Here is a 21352-nt window from a genome sequence, read left to right as displayed (position 1 = left end):
GCCCACTACCCTTGACTTGGCCACAGACAAACCCAGATATTCAGGAGACCCCAGTGATATCCAGCTGTATGTCAAGTCTATTCTACACTCCTACAATGTGCAAAGCACTCTTCTAAACCCAAGTGGTAAAGAAGCCAAAAAAAATTGAATTTCCTTGTATACCTGTAATAAACAAAATAAATAGGTTAAATAAGTAAGTATATATTAAGCCAGATAGTGATAATGCCATAGAGAACGATGTAAGAGACTACACACACACATATACACACACATGCACATACACACTGTATATAGACTATTTATATATATATTTTATATATATATATATATATATATATATATATATATATATATATAAAATATTATGGAATACTACTCATCCTTAAAAAAATAAAATAAAATGGCCAGTAATCCCAGCACTTTGGGAGGCTGAGGCGGGCAGATCATGAGGTCAAGAGATCGAGACCATCCTGGCCAACATGGAGAAACCCCACATCTACTAAGAATACAAAACTTAGCTGGGTGTGGTGGCACGCGCCTATAGTCCCAGCTACTCGGGAAGCTGAGGCAGGAGAATCACTTGAATGAGGGAGGTGGAGGCTGCAGTGAGCTGAGATCTTGCCACTGCACTCCAGCCTGGTGACAGAGTGAGACTCTCTCTCCAAAATAAATAAATAAATAAATAAAGTCTTTTGCAACAACATGGATAATACTGGAGGCCATTATCCTAACTGAAATAACTCAGAAGCAGAAAATAAAAAAACCTTATGTTCTCATTTATAAGTGGGAGCTCAACAATGGGTACACTTGGCCATATTGAGTGGAACAATAGACCTGGGAGACTCCAAAAGGTGGGAGGGTGGGAGGAGGGTGAGGGATGAAAGATTAGCTATTGGGTACAATGTGCACTATTTGGGTAATGGGTACACTAAAAGCCCAGATTTCAACACTATGCAATATATCCATGTAAACAAATGGCACTAGTACCCTCCAAATCTATAAAAATGAAAAGTAGGATATTTAAAATACACACACACACACACACACACACACACACACACACACACACACGAGAGAGAGAGAGAAAGAGAGATCCAGCGGCCAGAAAGACCTAATTTGCAAGAAGCAAATAAAAATAGGAAGGAATTGAGAGGGTTTGCTTTTTGTCTGGGGAAGAACGTTCCAGACTGAGGAAAGAGCAAGTTTAAGTCTACTGAGATGGAGCATCCTGACTTATTCCATGTACTGGGAGCCAGTGTAGCCAGCAGAGCATGTACAATCGGGCAAGCAGGAGTCGAAGTGAGACAGGCAACTGAAGGCAGATTACATAGGGCCTTTGTAGGCACTTGTAAAGATCTGTTTTTTCTTTGAGTGAGATGGGAGGCTACCGGAAGCTTTTGGGCAGAAGAGTCTTATGTTATGACACACTGGCCAGTATGCTTAAAAATGAAGAAAGCAATGAAGCAAGGCAGGAAATTTTTTGTGGAAACTACACCAATAATTAAGATAATGGGTAATGCTGACTTGTACTTGGGTATTCACAATCTACAGTATATATTTCAAAAACAATATAGACAATCTAGCCCCAAAGTACCTCCAGGGGAATTTCAAACTTTAAACAACACAGTATTCATCACAAGAAGCATATCTCATCCTTATCTTGGCCAAGGGGCAGAAGCAGAGTCGAGAGATAATCATAGAGCTGTCGCAGTCAGATACAAGATCTCTTTTTATTACACAGTCCAAGTTTCTGATTTGGGGACAAGGCTTTTAATTATAAATTGCTCAATACTATCCTATTTCTGCATGTTTGGCACCATTTATAAAACAGAAAAATTGAAAGAAAAAATACCAACATACTACCTTTACTTATAATCCAATGAGATTTTATTTTAAAGAAATATTTCAGTTAACCCACTAATCTAACAGAAAGTTGTGTAAAATCATGCACAATCTTGAGAACTATATTGCTCTTTTTACCTGAATCTTTTTTCTTTTTTTTTATTCACTGTTTTGTTCTTCTCTTAGTGCTTATTCTAAAATTTTATCTTGCATCATTCATGATTTTCTTATAAAGCATAAAGCTAATCAGTATTTTTCTTTTTAGCAAGACATAAACCATAGAATTCTCTATCCTTCTTTAAAACTCCCAGATTACTCTAATTTTTATATTTGTATTGTCTGCCACTTAAATGATTCAACATCATCAAACTGTTGAAATGTATTTATCAGTAATACTTTTATGCCTGCTATTATTATTATTATTATTTATTTTTATTTATTTATTTATTTATTTTTTTGAGACGGAGTCTCGCTCTGTCACACAGGCTGGAGTGCAGTGGCACGATCCAGGCTCACTGCAAGCTCCGCCTCCCGGATTCCCGCCATTCTCCTGCCTCAGCCTCTCGAGTAGCTGGGACTACAGGCGGCCACCACCAAGCCCGGCTAATTTTTTATATTTTTAGTAGAGACGGGGTTTCACCGTGTCAGCCAGGGTGGTCTCGATCTCCTGACCTCGTGTTCTGCCCGTTTCGATCTCCTGACCTCGTGTTCTGCTCGTCTCGGCCTCCCAAAGTGCTGGGATTACAGGCGTGAGCCAGGGTACCTGGCTACTATTATTATTTTTAATCCTTCCTTAAATTTACTGATGTATTCCATCATTTTATTTCCTTTCTATTGTTTCTTAAATCTTGCTCTTTCACTTTTTAAAAAACTGCTCTTTAGTCTTAATTTCATGTTTTACTTACTCCTTCAGAGAGTGCATGGACAATAAAACCTCTTGGCTTTTTTGGCTTTTTGATATCCTATCTATCATACAGTATCTTAATTCTATCTTTACTGTTAAATAAATCTTGAAACACGCCTTTTGCATATCGTTCAACTTTTAGCTAGCTTAACCATTTATGCAAGACTCCTGTTCCTAAAGTTTTTGTAATTAAAGGGGCCTAAGACTTTTAACAGCTATTCCCCAATGACTGTTATAATCTCAGTCTCTTAGACATATACCTGTTTGGCTAACCATGTCTTTAAACAACCTTAATGTTCTAGTCATAGTTTCTTATTTTGGTTTTGGTTTGGTTTGGTTTGGTTTTTGTTTGTTTGTTTGTTTTGTTTTGAGACAAAGTTTCACTTTTGTCGCCCAAGCTGGAGTTCAATGGTGCAATCTCGGCTTACTGCAACCTCAGACTCCTGGGTTTAAGCAATTCTCCTGCCTCAGCCTCCTGAGTAGCTGGGATTACAGGCATGCACCACCACGCCCAGCTAATTTTGTATTTTTAGTAGAGATGGGGTTTCACCATGTTGGCCAGGCTGATCTCGAATGCCTGACCTCAGATGGTCCACCTGCCTTGGGCTCCCAAAGTGCTGGAATTACAGGTGTGAGCTACCACACCTGGCCTAAATTTCTTGTAATTGGAATTTTATTTTATGTTTTTCCCTGCTCAGTGTGTTTTGTAACTGAATAGTGTGCTTCTTATGGATCAGCATAACTTTTATTTAATAAAAGTTCATTAATAACAACTTTTAATTAAGAAATTTTTTAATTAATAAAAGTTAATTAATACAGTTTAATTTTGACTGAGAAGGCCAACCATTGCACATAATTCACTAAAAAGTAATGCTCTAATTAGCTACTTGTAAATCATTAGTTACATAGTAAATTCCTTAAGGATAAGACTCCTATTGAATGTTGACCTTCCAGCCTAGCACAGTTCCAGGCCAAAAATAGCACTTGATACACATGAAAGGAAATGAATGTTTTTGAGTGATGCTCAAGCAAATACCAAAGGACCATTTATCAGTGGTCACTGATATTTTTGAGAGAAATATAGAATTATTTTCTGTTTCCAGCAACCAAAACTGTCTTAAGCATAAAAATATAAATATTTTTTGAGAGAAATATATTTTCGAGATAAAGTATAGAATTATTTTCTGCTTCCAGCAACCAAAACTGTCTTAAGCATAAAAAGTTATTAAAACTGAATTTAAAAATTATGACTATTAAAGCATTCAAATTGATTCAACAGTACATTATTATACTTAGAACATTTCTTCAGTAGATATATTATTCTTATCATAGTACATTACAAATTAATCCCAAAATTATCCTCTAGAACATATGTGATTGAAAAATGAGGACAGTATCAGGTAATATAAGATGTTTAAAGGGAATTTTAAGAAGCATCTTGAACCACATGAAAGGAGATAATTTTACACTAACTCATATGAAATGAGTTTGGTTCAATTATTTTGTTTCTGTAATAATCTCTTCATTCAGACATATACGGCTGTAATTTCTTATAAAGCATAAACTAGTAAAGACATTACTTAAAAATTCATTCTCCAAGTTTTAAATATCTATATAAACAGTTATTTATTTCAGTACTATGTGAACTTGCTGTTTTATATTTTATAGGCCTAGAATATTAATTGATCAAATACTGTTAACTCTCTAATACTTTTCAATTTCTTTATTCCTTTTGAAATATATACATATATAGAATGCATATATATTCTGATACTAAAATTTATCTGTAATATATTAAAATACTATACTCAAACATGTTCTTATAATTCTAATTTATTTCTCAAAATCAGTTTTATTTTATTTTATTTTTATTTATTTATTTTGAGATGGAGTCTTGCTCTCTCACCCAGGCTGGAGTGCAGTGGAGTGATCTCATCTCACTGCAACCTCCGCCCGAGTTCAAGTGATTCCCCTGCCTTCTCCTGCTTCAGCCTCCCTAGTAGCTGGGATTACAGGCACATGCCACCATACCTGGCTAATTTTTGTCTTTTTAGTAGAGATAGGGTTTTGCCACGTTGGCCAGCCTGGTCTCGAACTCCTGACTTCAGGTGATCCACTCTCCTCGGCCTCCTAAAATGCTGGGATTACAGGAGTGAGCCAGCATGCCCAGCCTTCTAAACCAGTTGTAATTTTTATTGAAAAATATATAGAATTAAATTTCTTCAATTATATCAAATTTTTGTAAATGTAGCCTAAATTTTATGTTCATAGAAATTAGAAATTCTATTGTCTGCCTACTTTTAATATAAAAATTACTTTTTACAAAAACAATTAAGGCTATTTCATAATGAGAATGCCTTTGATTGTCATAGACACACATGCACACATACACTTCAATAAATGTATTAATACCTTTGAATACTATCCATTTTTTAATTCATAGCATCATTCTATGTAGCCAAAAAAAATCATTGTAAAATTATCTGTGAGTCATATTATTTGTTTTGGTTATATCCAATGCCCTATGAGCTTATAGATGTGCATACCACTTATAATAAACTCCCAGGGTCTTCCAGACATAAATAACTGCATAAAGTAACTCCAACCTGAATTAATTAAAAATAGATATTAAATGGAAAACCAACTAAATCCGTAAGACATCAGGTAATTGCAAGTGTGCCATAAGTAGGCAACATATTTGAGGAATTTCTTGGAAACAGAAATAGAAAAGAATGAAAACCGACTGGTTAATTTAAAGCATATTCTCAATCTTAAAAACTTTAGGAAATTATTCTTTTCAGTGAAAGCAATTTTGAAAAAGAAACTGCAAGAACTCTGAGCCCCACATTATTGAGGGAGAGTTACAAAATTAGGTCATGGAGTGTTTTACAAAACCCCATGGGAAGCCAGACTGGTCATCTCATCCTCTTCCCCCATAAGTTTAAAGCTCCTTGCTGCAAAAATTCATACAGGGGTAAGAATTAGAGAAAAACAAAAGTGGCATCTAGTGGCTCGCCAGCTCTGATGTCAGCTCCCAGCCAAAATATTACTTAAGTATATTTCTTTGTCTAAGTCCCAGTGACTCACACAGAGATTCCTATGTTGATTCCTTCAATTAATTAATTGTTAGCTTACATATTTATTGAATGCTTATTATGTGCATCATACTCTTTTAAGTTCTTTCTATATATTAGCATGCAAAACAGTAATCCTTGCCTTCATGGAGCTTATATTTAGCAAGAAACAATGAAAATGAACAAAAAGAAAATAAATATGCAAATTGACTTGTGTGTTAGAAAGTTGTGAATGGCAAGGATAGAAGAAAAAGGTAGTGCATTTTGAGGAGGTTTTTGGTGTGAAAGCACTGTGATGGTAGAATATAATATTACAAAAGGTGGTTAGGGTAGGCCTCAGAGAATTGAATGTATAGCGAAACCGTGATGATAATAGAGAAAGCCAAATAGATGTGAGGTTATACAACATTGTAAATGTATTTAATGCCACTGAATTTTACACTCACAGGTGATTAACATGGGAAATATTATGTTAACATATATTTTACCTCAATAAAAAGAGCCATGAAGCCACAAAAAATGCATGAATAAATAATAAATGCATATTGCTAAATTATAAAGCCAATCTGAAAAGGTTAAATACTCTATAATCCCTATTACATGACATTCCAGAAAAGGCAGCATATAAAAGTGATTAAAAAGTCAGTGGTTGCCAAGTGACAGGGATGGGGAGTAGAGAGGGGTGATCAGGTGAGAGACAGAATTTGAAACTATTCTATATGAGATTTGAAACTATTCTATAAGGGTTTTGAAACTTCTATATACTGTAATTGTATATACAGTATATATAATTGTAATTGTATATACTATATACTGTAATTGTATATACAGTATATAGAATTGTAATTCTATATACTGTAATTCTATATACTGAATACATAACACTATGCATTTTTCAAAACACTTACAGCACAGGGTGAATCTTAATTTATACTCTTTAAAAGTCATTTAAGAAGTCAGCAGAAGCCCAGCATGAAATGCAGACTGTGACAAGAAAAAAAAATTTACAAATCTGTAACACAAACTCAATGTAGTGAGTGGAGAGAAAAATTTCTGACCAGACAGCATTGCAAATGAGTTGATTTTAAGACAAGGAAAACTATATACAACTTTTAATACAACTTTATCAGCTATAAAGTTAGCCTGTTACTAACTTTATAATACTTGGCCTATTACTAACACCTGATACAGCTGATACAACTTTATCAGCTATAAAGTTGTATTAAAAAGGTTATAGTTAAAAACATTGATAGTGCTATCATGTACATTGGAATTGTACAATTAAATGTAAATGAATCATTTGTGATGAGAGTCATGCTTCTCACAGTTTGAGCAGGAATTCATGGATGAGCAAGAAAAGAAGGCTAGAATCCTCCATGAAATAATGGATTACAATTGGAGACCTCGGTATGAATTTATATCTAGCTTACTACAGATACAGATAGGTATATATAGAAATGTTTACACATATATGTTGTTTTAGTCTATTCTCATACTGCTATAAAGAACTACATGAGACTGGGTAATTTTTGAAAAAAAAATTGAATTAACTCATAGTTCCACAGGCTGAGCAGGAAGTATGGTTAGGGAGGCCTCAGGAAACTTACAATCATGGCAGAAGGCAAAGGGGAAGCAGGCAGATCTTCACATGGTGGAGCAGGAGAAAGAGAGAGTGAAGAGGGAAGTGCTACACACTTTCAAAGCATGAGAACTCACTTGTTATTATGAGAACAGAAAGGGGGAAATCCACCCCCATCATCCAATCACCTTCCACCAGATTCCACTCCCAACATTAGGAATTACAATTCAACATGAGATTTGGGTGGGAACACAAAGCCAAACCATATCACATGTATATACCAGAGTTAGTATACAAACATGTATTTCCTTTCTCTGTTAGCTGAGAGGGCCTGGAGCAAATATCCCTGTAGCAAGGAGTATACTTATTACCCAGTTCCTGCTTTGTGATATCTTTCTCCAATCGAAGGAACCAGTATTTCTTGGAGAAATGACTGATTGTAGCACTAGAACAGGAAACATATACACAATGAGTTTGGAGCACCTCAGATTCCTTGTAGTGCCAGAAAATAAGAAATTCCTCAAAAATAAACAATCAAGAAATGTTAGAAGGATAGATCAAAGCAGCACAAGAGCCAGCTGAAAGAGCTCCTAGAACAACTTGAGCAATAAAACAAATAAATTAGTATTAGTTTATAAAACAAAATATAAAATAAAATAAATATTTATAAGTCCATAATTATTTGAATAAATAAGTGGGAAGAAGAGACATTTCACATGCAGAAGAATTACAAATAATTCTTATACATTTTCTGTCCTCCTGGAGATGGGACATAACTCCCTACTCTTTAAGTTGGGACTATGCATGGATATTTCCTTCTCAGGGGTACAGTGTGAAATGGAGGAATAAGAGTACCTTGACTTTGATAATCAAAATAAAAATGCCAAACAGTATCTCATCTGGACAGTCAGGTTTAATATAAATTGTGGTAAGACAATGACAATATGTACCCTTGATAAGATAGAATGCCAATGGCACTTCATCTCTGTTGCATTCCTGTGAATTACATATAAACCCAGTTTAATGATGAGAAAAAAACAACAGACATATTCAACTTCAGGGACATTCGATAGAATACTTGGCCTGTTACTAACACCTGTGAAGGTCACCAAAAACAAGGTAAGTTTGAGGAAATGTCACAGCCAAGAGGAACCTCATGGGACACAATGATTAAATGAAAGTCGTAACCGATGAGATCTTGGAAGAGAATAATAACATTAGGCAAAAACCAAGGAAATATGAATAAAGTATGGACTTTAGTTGATGGCAATGTATCAATATGCTTGTATTAATTATAACGATTGTACTTTATTAATGGTTGACATTAATAATAGGGGAAACTGAGTGCGGGCTTTCTGACATATCCCTGTATTCTCATCACAAATTTTCTGTAAATCTAAAACTATTTAAAGATGAAGTTTATTACTAAAAAGTTAACAAAGTGGCAGTATATAAGTTCAACAAAGAAATTTCAAATAGAAATTTTAAATTTATAAATAAAATCATGGAAATTGAAATGTCTTGTTCAACAGCATAAACAATTATATAGTACCTTATAATAAAATTTAAAAGTACAAAAACTGTACATAGAAATTTGAAACATTAAATAAGACCTAATAAATAAAGGTATATATTAGGCCTTGATATGCTTTAATAAAACAATATTTGATATTGATTTTTTCCTATGAAATGTGTCTAAGTATATTATTTTATTTGATTCATTAAGAATTTTGTAGTTATCTTTTTGCTATATATATATTTTTTCTTTTCTGCAACCAGAAAACATATTAAGGCCAGCTCTTGATTGGTTTTAATCAGTCTTCCATATGCCATTAAAACTAATTTAGACTCTATCATTGTTATTTGCTATGTAATATGTATGCAATGTAATATATGAGTCAGTTTTGTTCTTTTGCTCAGATATTTTATGTTTTTGATTAAATTTGTCTGGTTATTCCATCTGTTGTTAAGTGGATATTTTTTATTATTAAACAATAATATTCTTAATTTAGCACCTACATCCTTAATATATTATTTCTGTTATTTAATTCTACTGTAATTTCATTGTGCCAAAGTCTTCAAATGTCTTTAACATTCTTGTCTTAACCTTTTGTCTTGACTTTGTGCCTCTCCAAAAACTAAGTGGATCTGTATCTTGTAGCTCTTTCAGCTGAAGTCATTGTTATTATGCTACGTATGCAATGGAAAGGCATGAGGGAGAAGGTTTTATAATCTTCCACTTAAATCTCAGTCTTTCAGTGGGCCTCGGTCTCACGTCTATGGCCTTTGCAAGTGTTTCTCCACTGGTATAACTATTTTCCCCCCTTGCCTCATATTCTGTTTCATGTCTGCAGAATTCTGTTTTCTAAATTTATTGAGGTATAATTGATATGCAAAGAATCCCACATGTTTAATGTACCCAATTTAATGTGTTTGAACATATGTAAACATCCATGATACAATGATCATAATCAAGATAATAGGCATATCCAACACCTCCCAAGGACTCCTTAAGTCCTTTTATTTAAGTTTGTGTTTCGCTTTGCTTTGTGTTTGTTGTAAGAACACTTAACCTGAGAGTTATTCTGTTGATAGCTTTTTCAGAGCATAACACCACATTGTTAGCTTTAGGCACTAGGTTGAACAGCAAATCTCTAGAATTTCTTCATCTAGCATCATTGAAACTTCATGTCCTTGAATCCCTGACTCTATTGACTCTGTTTTGCTCCCACCACCTCCAAGAACATAAGCCGGGAAGGCTCTAAGGACCCGGGGTAAGAGGATTGCCATTCTTCCTCTTAGGAAAAGACCCAGGCAGTCTGTCCCCAGAGAGTATGTCTTATTATGGAGAAGGATTTGGGAAAATTGATTAACAATTACTTTTGTCATCGCCTTGTCAAAGCAATAAGGGAAATTTCCTGGGAACTTCCTCATGAAAACCTAGTAAGTTCCTGGAAATAAAGTCTCTAAGAGTTTGGGGCCGGGCGCAGTGGCTCACGCCTGTAATCCCAGTACTTTGGGAGGCCGAGGCGGGCAGATCACCTGAGGTCACCTGAGGTCAGGAGTTTGAGACCGGCCTGACCGAACGTCTCTATTAAAAATCAAAAAAAAAAAAAAAAAAAAAAAATTAGCCGGGCGTGGTGCCTGGCGCCTGTAATCCCAGCTACTCAGGAGGCTGAGGCAGGAGATTCGCTTGAACTCGGGAGGCGGAGGTTGCAGTGAGCCGAGATGGCGCCACTGCACTCCAACCTGGGCGACAAGAGTGAAACTCCGTCTCATAAAAAAAGAAAAAAAAAGAGTTTGGGGACCCCTGTAATACTGTGGTTCTGTGGAATTTATTACTTTAATGCTAGTTCATACTTATCTTCCAGTAATTTGCAAATATTAAAATTTTCAGTGTTCCTACTAGTTGAAGACTCCAGTGTCTTTTGATCCAGATGAGCATATCTCAGCTGTGAATTTCTGGATGTGCCTATCTCTCCAGAGCAGGATCATAGTTTTTCCTGAAACCAGAGTTCTCTGAGGAGAAAATTTCAGTTGGTCCACCTTTTCTTTTGGTAAGGACCACAGGAATGACTTCTAAGCAATTTGCCTGTCAGAACTAAAACCAGAAGTTCTACCTTATTATAACTTAAAAATGTTTATGTTTAGCAAGTTCTTGATACTGTTAGAACTTATGAGTCCTTGAAATCTTTTTCATTTTCCTTTTTTGCATTATTGTCATGCATTTTATTTCTACAAATAGTTTAAACCACATAAGACACTAGCATGCTTATAGTGTGTTGATGGTATTTATTTATATTTTCTCATCTTTTCATCCATTTGTGATCTTCATTTCCTCTAAATTTCCATATTTTTATGGGATTAGTATTGTTTTGTGTAAACAAATTTATTATTTCTCATAGTACAAGTTTGATTACAATATATTTGCCTACTTTTTATATGACAAAACAATTGTTTCTGCGCATTCATTTTTGAAGGACAGTTTTCTTTCATGTAGAGTTCTACATTAGTTATTATTGTTATTATTATTTAGTATGTTTTGGATTTTATTGTATTGTCTCCTAAACTTCATTGTTTTGCACAAAAAGTTAGCCATTATTTCTGTTGTTGCTCCATGTAAGATAAAGTCTTTTTTTTTGGTGGGGTGAGTCTCTGTTCATATCGGTTTTATTATAATGTCGGCAGGTGTGACTTACTTGGATGTTTATCTTGCTTGTGATTTGCTGGCATTACTGGACACCATCTCTTTTATAGTTTGTCTGACTGTGTTTATCTTTTATTCTTCTGGGATTTCAATAATAATGTTACAAAACTTGTGCAAATGTCCTAAATGTTACATACACTCTTTTCTGTTATTTCAATTTTTTTACTCTTTTTTTTTTTTTCGGTGACTCAACTTGTCTTACATTCATGTTTCATAATCTTATAATCTGATTTTTGCAAAATGCTATTAAGCCTTTCTTTTAAAAAAGTAGTTATAATTTTTGCTTCAGAAAAGAATCTGTGATTTCTGTATGTAGATTCAAATTTCCTGACATTATTTTTCTATTTTTCCCATTTATTCCTTAATTAACTTTAACATGATTATCCTATTTATGGTATCTGATAATTGAAATGTACTGATTATCTCTGGGATGACACCTAATATCTGTTTTTTTCTTAGTCGTATATTCTTTACTCTTCATATGTCTAAACATACACAGCCACACACACACACTCTCTCTCTCATACACACACACATACACACACACTCAAGATAGAGTGATTTTATTTTCAAATCATAGAGAGTCCCTTTCATTTGCTAGAAAGAAAGCTTGAGGGGTTGAATATCTCCATTTATTCTGTGATTGAACTGGGTCGAGACTGGATTTTACTTTTAATAAGACTTATTTCACCTCTAGTCGTGTCTGTGGACTCATAGCTGAGAATGAAAACCTATCGGGTGCCCTTCTTATCAACACTAAAACTTTGATAAATGTAGTTCTATTTTTCAGAGCTCCTCAGAACAGTTTCTCCAATCAGAAACTAACCTAGTGCTTAATTTGGGAGCTTTGTCCTGGTGAGTCTTTGTTTCCTATGCACTATGCAATGTAAGATGTTGCAAAATTTCTTTTAGAAGCTCGTAAGCCAGCACCTTATGCTCCTTTAATGCCACAAACTTATCAGGTGGTCCTTTGGGGTAAGTTAAAGATGCATTTATGGTCTCTCAAAGATATATTCCCGATTCATGTGATAAAGAAAAGCTTTGCAGTTTCTTTTAGCCCCATTTGGGAGACGCTCCCTTGGTCAAGCCCTACTTTTAGCTTATAATTAGTATAAGCAAATTTCCACAGATGAAAAAGTGGCCAGTTACCATCATCTTTCCTTAGAATTGTTCTCCCTTCCTGGTAATCTTAATTAATTTAGACTTCAATGTGTTCACAGATCTCTGACATATATATATATACACACACACACACACACACTCATTCATTAAATATATAAATAAATTTATATTTATTTATATATAATTATATAAATTATAAATATATCTTTAATGAATGTGATATTTTCTAACGTTTTTAGCAGAAACATTGGCCTATAAACCTACTACTTTTGATCGAGAGGTAAAAGTTCTCTTTCTATTTTAAGTTCAGTAACAACTGGTGTGGTCCCTATTCCTTGACTTAGTAATTCCAAGGATTAGAATATATAACATGAAAGTATTAGGTTGGTGCAAAAGTAATTGTGTTTTTGCCATTTAAAAGTAAAGGCAAATCACCATTACTTTTGCACCAAAATAATATTCAAAAGATATGAAGACATATGTACAAATGTGATTATTGCAGTCATGTTTAAAGTAAAAATTTGAAATATCTATAAGCAAAATCAGTTATTAAGTATGACAATTTAGTACAATTCTCTCTGAGAGAATTCTGTGTTTACATTTAACAATAAACCATATCTATAAATATTAACATCAAAGATAAACATAATGTTAACAGACAAACCTGATGGAAGATTGTAGGGGAGGCTCTGAGAGGTGTTCTCTGTTGCTGGTAATGTTGTGACTCTTGATTTGTGTCTTGGTTATAAAAATGCTAAATTTTGGAAATTCATTGAAATATACAATTATTAATGTTACACTTTTCCATATGCATGTTATACTTTAAATATGTACATATTGTTAAAAATATAGAATGATATCTATAAAAATATAGAATATCTGTAGTGTAATAAAGTATAATAAAGATATAACTGTAGCTATATTTATATCTGGATTTATTATTTATATCTTTATAAGTACAAGGAAATTGTAAGAATGAAAATTTCCAGGCAAAAGTAACTTTCACATTATATGCTACTACTCTGTTTAAAATAATTTATTTCAGCATTTTTTTGAAAAAATATACAATAAAAACATATTAATATCTTATATGGCAATTTCCGTTTTTGTATGTGTTATATATTTAGACTAGGAAATAATATTAATTTTGATAAAAGTATTTTTACAAACAGATACCACTACTTTCTTTATTTCCATTCTTCAACTTATATATTCCTTGGAAGCATATAATATTATTCAAAGAAGAAAATAAAAGAATGAATGAAGTTAGAAAGGTAAGATGGGTGAAAAGGAGAAAAGAAGGAAAGAAGTAAAGAAGAAAAGTGACAGAGCAGTAGGTAAAATATTAGTTATGCCAAAATAAGTACATATTTAATTAAAATTAGAAAAAATGAAAAAAATGGTTGTGAAGCCAATTTTCTTGATTTATAAGTGCGTGAGTTTAACACCTACTGTGTTATCGATGGCATAGGAAGTTATATGTGAAACATCCATATATGTTATTGCTAATTCCCATGCATTGCATGTGTGTATTGGTGTGTGTGTGTCTGTGTGTGTGTGTGTATTTAAATAGCACATAGTATAAATTGTATGTGAAGCACTTTTCATGTTAACTCTAAATTTAATTTCATGGTCACCTCATAAAGAGCTCTGGCTTTTTTTTTTCTGAGGCGTAAAAGTATGTGAAATTTGGAAAAGGGGAATGCAGTTGTAAATAAGGAGAGATGTTGATTTTTTTTCTTTTTTTTATTTAAAAAAAAAAAGAAAAGACACTTTTTTTTTTTCTAAGACAGAGTCTCACTCTGTCGCCCAGGCCGGAGTGCAGTGGCGTGATCACAGTCTCACTGCCGCCTCGAACTCCTGGGCTCAAGCAATCCTCCCGTATCAGCCTCTCTGTCATACACACACACACACACACACACACACACACACACACACACTGAAGCCTTCCATGTAGCTGGGACTACAGGAGCGTGCCACCCCACCTGGCTGATTTTTGTATTTTTTGTAGAGATGAGGTCCTGCCATGTTGCTCAGCCTGGTCTTAACTCCTAGACCCAAACAAACCTCTCACCTCAGCCTCCCAAAGTGCTGGTATTACAGGAGTGAATCACTGCATCCGGCAAAAAAGACAGATAGTGGTGATGGTTGCACAACCGCGTGCATATAGTTAATACCACTAAATTGTACACCTAACAATTGTTAAAATGGTAAATTTTATAGTATACATTTTACCATAGTAAAACAATATGTTTAAAAAGTCATGAGTGTAGTGTAGCAGAAGCTGTATCACTGGGATCAATATTTAACCAAGTTGCAGTAAACAGGACCAGAGAGCTTTGTACTACAGATACCCATATCTATGTATGTCTGTTAATTTTCATTTTAGTTTTATATATAATTTCCTTGTGAAAAATTTTGATGTCATCTTGACTGAACTTAAAATTTGATTGTGATCCTACCTTACTGTGGAGAAGAGTGAGATATCAGAGCATACATAGATTTTCAAGTGTGGACGTGGAACCAATAATCAACCAAGCATCAAGCAAGTTAAACCATCTAAGCCTAAAATTTTCCTGCACCAAATCTGATATTATTTTTTTCAACTATATAAAACTTGAAAAGTCATAATTTGTAATATTTATTTTTCACACTACATCAAGTGACAGTTATGCCACAAATCAAGTATATGAATTATAATTAACATTATTCTTTCAAACCTTCAAAGAATGCATGAAATCCAAAGAAAAGTATAGACAAATCAAATGTTAGCATATTCAAAGTCCTTTGAAAAAATGGAATTGAAAGTTAATTTAAAAGTGAAAGTAAAAACTACATACTATTCAGTACAAGGTACAGTTTCTAACACAATAGGCATTAGTATATTTTTTATTGTCATTCATAAAGGAGTGAAAGAGATATTTTAAAATAATAATTAATGTCAGTTTTAAGTGAATAAATTGGAAATATCTGGTTTTTCAGAGAGAATTGAGGAGTTTTAAAATGTGCATTTTCTATTTCTGAGCCATAAATGTATAATAATTCATTTAAATCTTCTGGGTTATTAAGTTAAATTGAGAAATGCAAATATGTCAACACATAATCATATAATTTGAGGTAATACACATAATCATATAATTTGAGGTAATAAAATCAGAAAACAATTAGATTTGTCTTTCTTTAGACATAGTCTTATGTCAAAGTATGCAACCAAATTCAACAAAGGCAAAAGGAGAGTAAATGTCAATGATTTGAATGAGAATAACCATGATGTATCAAGGATTATTTTAGAATAATTGTAAGCGACAGTGAGGCAAAGAAAAAGAGCATTTAAATGAAGTCATATGAAATAGATATGTAGGCATTAATTACAACTTATTTTACAACAATAGAGAATTATTTACTGACCTGGATATTATCTTTATCTCTTTCTCACCAATAAGTTTAGCTACATTTTAATAAGATAAATGAAACACCTTTAGATTTTTTCTAATCATGAAACTACCTCTCAAGTGTTAAAACGTTACTCAAAAGAAATTCACTTTTTCTCTATAGACATGGGCATTTTTTTGCCAAATCAAAAAAATCGGTTTTGTAAAATGATTCATATATAAAATCTAGGATGGATTATTACATCAAACTAATTCACAATATGGCAATAAAAATACTCTTTAATGGTTACAGATAATTGAACGCTTGCCTTTTTTATTAGCAAGGAAACATTTGGTCTGTGCATGAGTAGCAATGGCCATATGTGTCTATAATTAATTACAAATTACCTACTCAACTGGTGTTACCTGGAACAGCTGTTTTGTTTTTTTTTTCTCTAAAGCTAATGTTTAAACATTGAAATGTTCATTAACTCTGTAGCCATATGTACATTCGCATTTTTGTAATGCGGTAGTTTAATTATAAATATGAAAATTTATTCTTTGACAATCATCATAAGCATTAACATTTAACCAATAAAACGTGAACTCTTACACATAAGTGCTATGATTCCTGTTATTTAACTGTAGGAAGATTTCATGCCTATTACACTTCTCATTCTCCCAGGGTTTGTAGACTTGTTAGGTACATTAATCAGAGAATATAATGACAGCAGAGCCAAATCTGAGATTAAATATTTGCCTGAATATATTTCATTATATTTCTTTCCTTGAATAATATGATCCTGTAAGCTGATACAATTCCATGATGCATATTACTAGGCATAAAACTTCTCGATTATTATTAACAGATAACATAAAAAGAATATTTTTCAAAAGGAGAGAGAGAAGGTGAGAGACAGGGAGATTCGACAAGGTTGAATAAAATCAAAGATAGAAGAGAGGTACGTGAAGAGTGATAGTCCTGGAAATACCTCAAAGCAACATGATGGGCTTCTAGTAGAACTCAAAAAGTAGCAAGCAGTAAAATCTTCCTCTGTCAACAGTATGCAGGCTTTCAAGGTGGAAGGCGAGCATGTACTGATCAAAAATATACATATTTCATAAAAAAACAACATACATTTTACCTTTCAAAAATTCACAGCAATGACTCTAACATCTTATCCTATTTAATTAAAGTCCTAGCCTTTGTCTTGCATAAGATATATCATTTTATAATAAAGAGGAAATTATCTTATACACTTTTATTACAAACCAAAAATATGGAAAATATTTTTCGCATTAAGTACATCTAAATATGTAAGGAAACAAACTAGCACTTATAATAAAATATTACATGCAATGTATATGTATAATAGTGATATACACATATACACATACATGTATATATGTACCACAAACATTCATATATATGGATCAAATGTCTAGTCAGTTCAGTGAGAATCAAATATGTCATGACACATACATGAACCATGCTATAGGATATTATTATAGAAAGTCCTCTTGACCAAGAAAAAATTATTTTAAGATATATATATCAAAATGATCAAAATATGAACATTTCTTTGAAAATTATCTAATCTAATTAAATTGTTATCTATGTGCTTTGAATGTAAAATATAGAAGCAGCACTGTATGTATCATTCTACATTTGTATTGATTTTACTCCACAGTATTTGACAATGACATGAGTGTGTTCATCTCATATTTCAGAATTACAAAAAAATCATGCTAATAATGAAAAGAAACATTGTATAGATAACACTGTATATCTAAATGAACTTAGGATAAAATACTCATATTCTGTAATAATTTTAAATGGCATCAGGACAATATCTGAGATTTAGATTAAATTCATTATATCAATGTTGAACAATAATCACTTCAAATCTAATATCCATAAAATGGACAGAATTTCTTTAAATATGTAGTTTTTGGTAACTGAGACAAACAATTCAGATGATGCACAAAAACATAGTTGCATTGAATAACCTCTCATAAAAACTGTAAAAGTACTTCTAAGATATAACATTTTCCATGTGTATATACTTTTATTATTAGTAGGAGCATATTTAGAGCTATATAGTTATTAAGGCAGTGATATTTCCTATATGTCTTATAAGCATAAGGTATATTACACACTCTTGTGTTTTCTTTCTATCATTGTATACAGTATTTTATTTTCTAATTCCTCAGATGGGAAATAGATGCTTAGTGATATTATTAGTTGGATGATTGTACGTAGGAAATATCAAAGTGAGGATAAATATCTTAAGCCAAAGACTTTCATCTTAAACTTTTCATTAAAATGCTTCTTGTATCAAAACTTTATGGTTCGAATTTCTCTTTAAGTGATGTGTTCAATGCAAACATATGTTCTATAATGGTTTGATAAAGATGGTGTGTGTGTGTGTGTGTGTGTGTGTGTGTATCTGTGTGTGTGCATACAAAGAAACAGACATCACACAGTTATATCTTGGACAGGAGTCTGAAATGAACACCAAAAGAAATAGAGGTCAAACCTTGTAAAGAAAGGGTCAAAGACACTAAAGGAAAAAAAAATCATTTAAAACAGCATATAGGACAATGTGTCATAGAGTATAGAATGGTGAAATATGATAAAACATAAAAATTAGCAACATAAATATTACAACTCTGCAAGAGCAGTTCAAACTGTAAAAGTGGCAACCAGAATATTATAGGTTCAACATCAAATGATGATAAATTAAAATACATCTTGTCAGGCACACTGAGAAGTTCCCTAATGTATCCAAGTAATTGTTAAAAAAGAGAAAGAAGCATGGCAAGAGAAGGGTTAACATTGTGGCCTAACTTTCTTTTGCTGGAAGTGCCAGAAAGACAATGTTAAGAGAAAGACAGAAGATACAAGTGCCAAGATATATAAGCTTTCCATAAAATTAAGAAAATGTTTAGAAGGAAAAAAAGAAATTTGAGAGACAAAAGAAAACCAAAGGTAAATGATGTTTTAAAGATAGATGAAGCAAGGCGATTCTGTAACAGCCTTGAGTCTCCTTTAGAACTGAAGAGACTGAAGAAAAGTGGTTAAGTATATTGGAAATGACCTTGTTAAAGATACTTAGGTAGTTATCATTTTCAAGAGGTTACTTTTATAAACTTTTAATCAATGCAGAGTACACATGGGACATAAAACAGAAAACAACAGTAAAACATGTGGTAGAGTATTCAAAGGGTAAAGAATGTGACTCTGAGGTCATAAGATAACAGGGAGAGAAGATGTTGTATGAAATATTATGACTCTCTGAAGACCAGGTATTTTGGTATTTTACGGGCATTTTGGGAGTAATAGTCTGCAATCCACAGAGAGCAAGTGTATTAATCTCAACTCCATCTTCCTTCAGAGATGTGTCACATATTGTAAATGAGCAGTCTGCCTCTAATAGAGACACAAAGAAACTCAAGTATCATTTAAGAAAAGAAAAAAATTCTGTTTAACATTAATGCTGAAATTTAATTTCATTATTTTAATCAATATTTGTAATACTGCTTCTACCTGAAGAACTTCCTTTAATATTTTATAAGGTGCATACCAGCTAGGCATGAATTATTTTAGCTTTTTAATTTTGGAAGCTATAAATTCTTTTACATGTTATCATATTTATCTCTTTAGGTATAATAATATTTTGATTTTATTAGCTGCAATTTCATTCATTGTTTATTTTATCTCATAATGAATTTATATATTTTATAGCTGATTTTACTGTATATTTTTAGTCACATTCACACGCTTATGTAAACTACACATGAAAATATGCATATATTTATACATTATATATAATTATGTCAACCACCTATGTTTTTTGTGTGTAAATACAGATGTAGATATACCTTCTCCCATTTGCTTCTGGAGTAAAATAACATGATATTACATTTTACATAATTACTATTATGGATTTTTGTTTGTTTGTTTGTTTTGCAGCAGAAAATGTTAACACAAACTATAGGTGATCTGCACATCTTTGAGCCATTCAAAATTCATTACAACTAAATAAATGTAGAAATAAATGTTCTCCAATTGGCTCATACTTTACTATTATTCTCTTTTTTTTTTTTTTTTTTTTGAGATGGAGTCTTAATCTGTCTCCAGGCTGGAGTGCAGTGGCGCGATCTCAGCTCACTGCAACTCCGCCTCCTGGGTCCAACCGATTCACCCTCCGCCTCCCAAGTATCTGGGACTACAGGCATCCTCCACCACACCCAGCTAATTTTTTGTATTTTAGCAGTGATGGGGTTTCACCATGTTGGCCAGGATGTTCTCGATCTCCTGACCTTGTGATCCACCTGCCTTGGCCTCTCAAAATGCTGGGATTACAGATATGAGCCACCGCGCCTGGCCTATTATTCCTTAAAATGTCTGGACTTAGATATAAAACCTAAAACTATAAAAATCCTAGAAGAAAACCGAGAAAATACTATTCTGGATGTAGACCCTGGCAAAGATTTCATGACAAAGACTCCAAAACAAATAGCAACAAAAACAAAAATTTACATGTGGGACCTAATTAAATAAGAGCTCTGCACAGAAAAAAAAAAAAAAGTATCAGCAGAACAAACAGACAACCTACAGAATAAGAAAAACATCTGCAAACTATGCATCTCATAAAGGCCTAATATCTAGAATCTCTAAGGAACTTAAATCAACAAGCATAATACAATTTCATTAAAAAAATGGGCAAAGGACATAAGCAGACACTTCTCAGAAGAAGACATACATGCAGCCAAAAAGCATATGAAAAAAATACTCAACATCACCAATCATTGGAAAAATGCAAATCAAAACCACAATGACATACCATCTTACACCAGTCAGAATGGCTATTATAGAAATGTCAAAAAAATAACAGACGTTGGCAAGATTTACAGAAAAAAGAGAACACTTATACACTGCTGGAGAGACTGTAAATTAGTTTAGCCACTGTAGAAAGCAGTTTGGAGATTTCTCAAATAACTTAAAAAAGAGCTATCACTTAACCCAGAAGTCCCATGATTGACTATATACCCAAAGGACTATACATCATTTTACCGTAAAGACACACGCATACATACGTTCATTGCAGCAGCACCATTCACAATAGCAAAGACATGGAATCAATCTAGTGCCATCAGCAGTGGACTGGAATAAAGAAAATGTGGAACATACACATCATGGAGTACTACAGCCTGAAAAAAAAGAATGAAATTATGTCTTTTGCAGCA

Source organism: Homo sapiens, chromosome 5, assembly GCF_000001405.40.
Source record: "Homo sapiens chromosome 5, GRCh38.p14 Primary Assembly".
Lineage (NCBI taxonomy): Eukaryota > Metazoa > Chordata > Mammalia > Primates > Hominidae > Homo > Homo sapiens.
Note: the sequence above shows the minus strand (reverse complement) of the source record.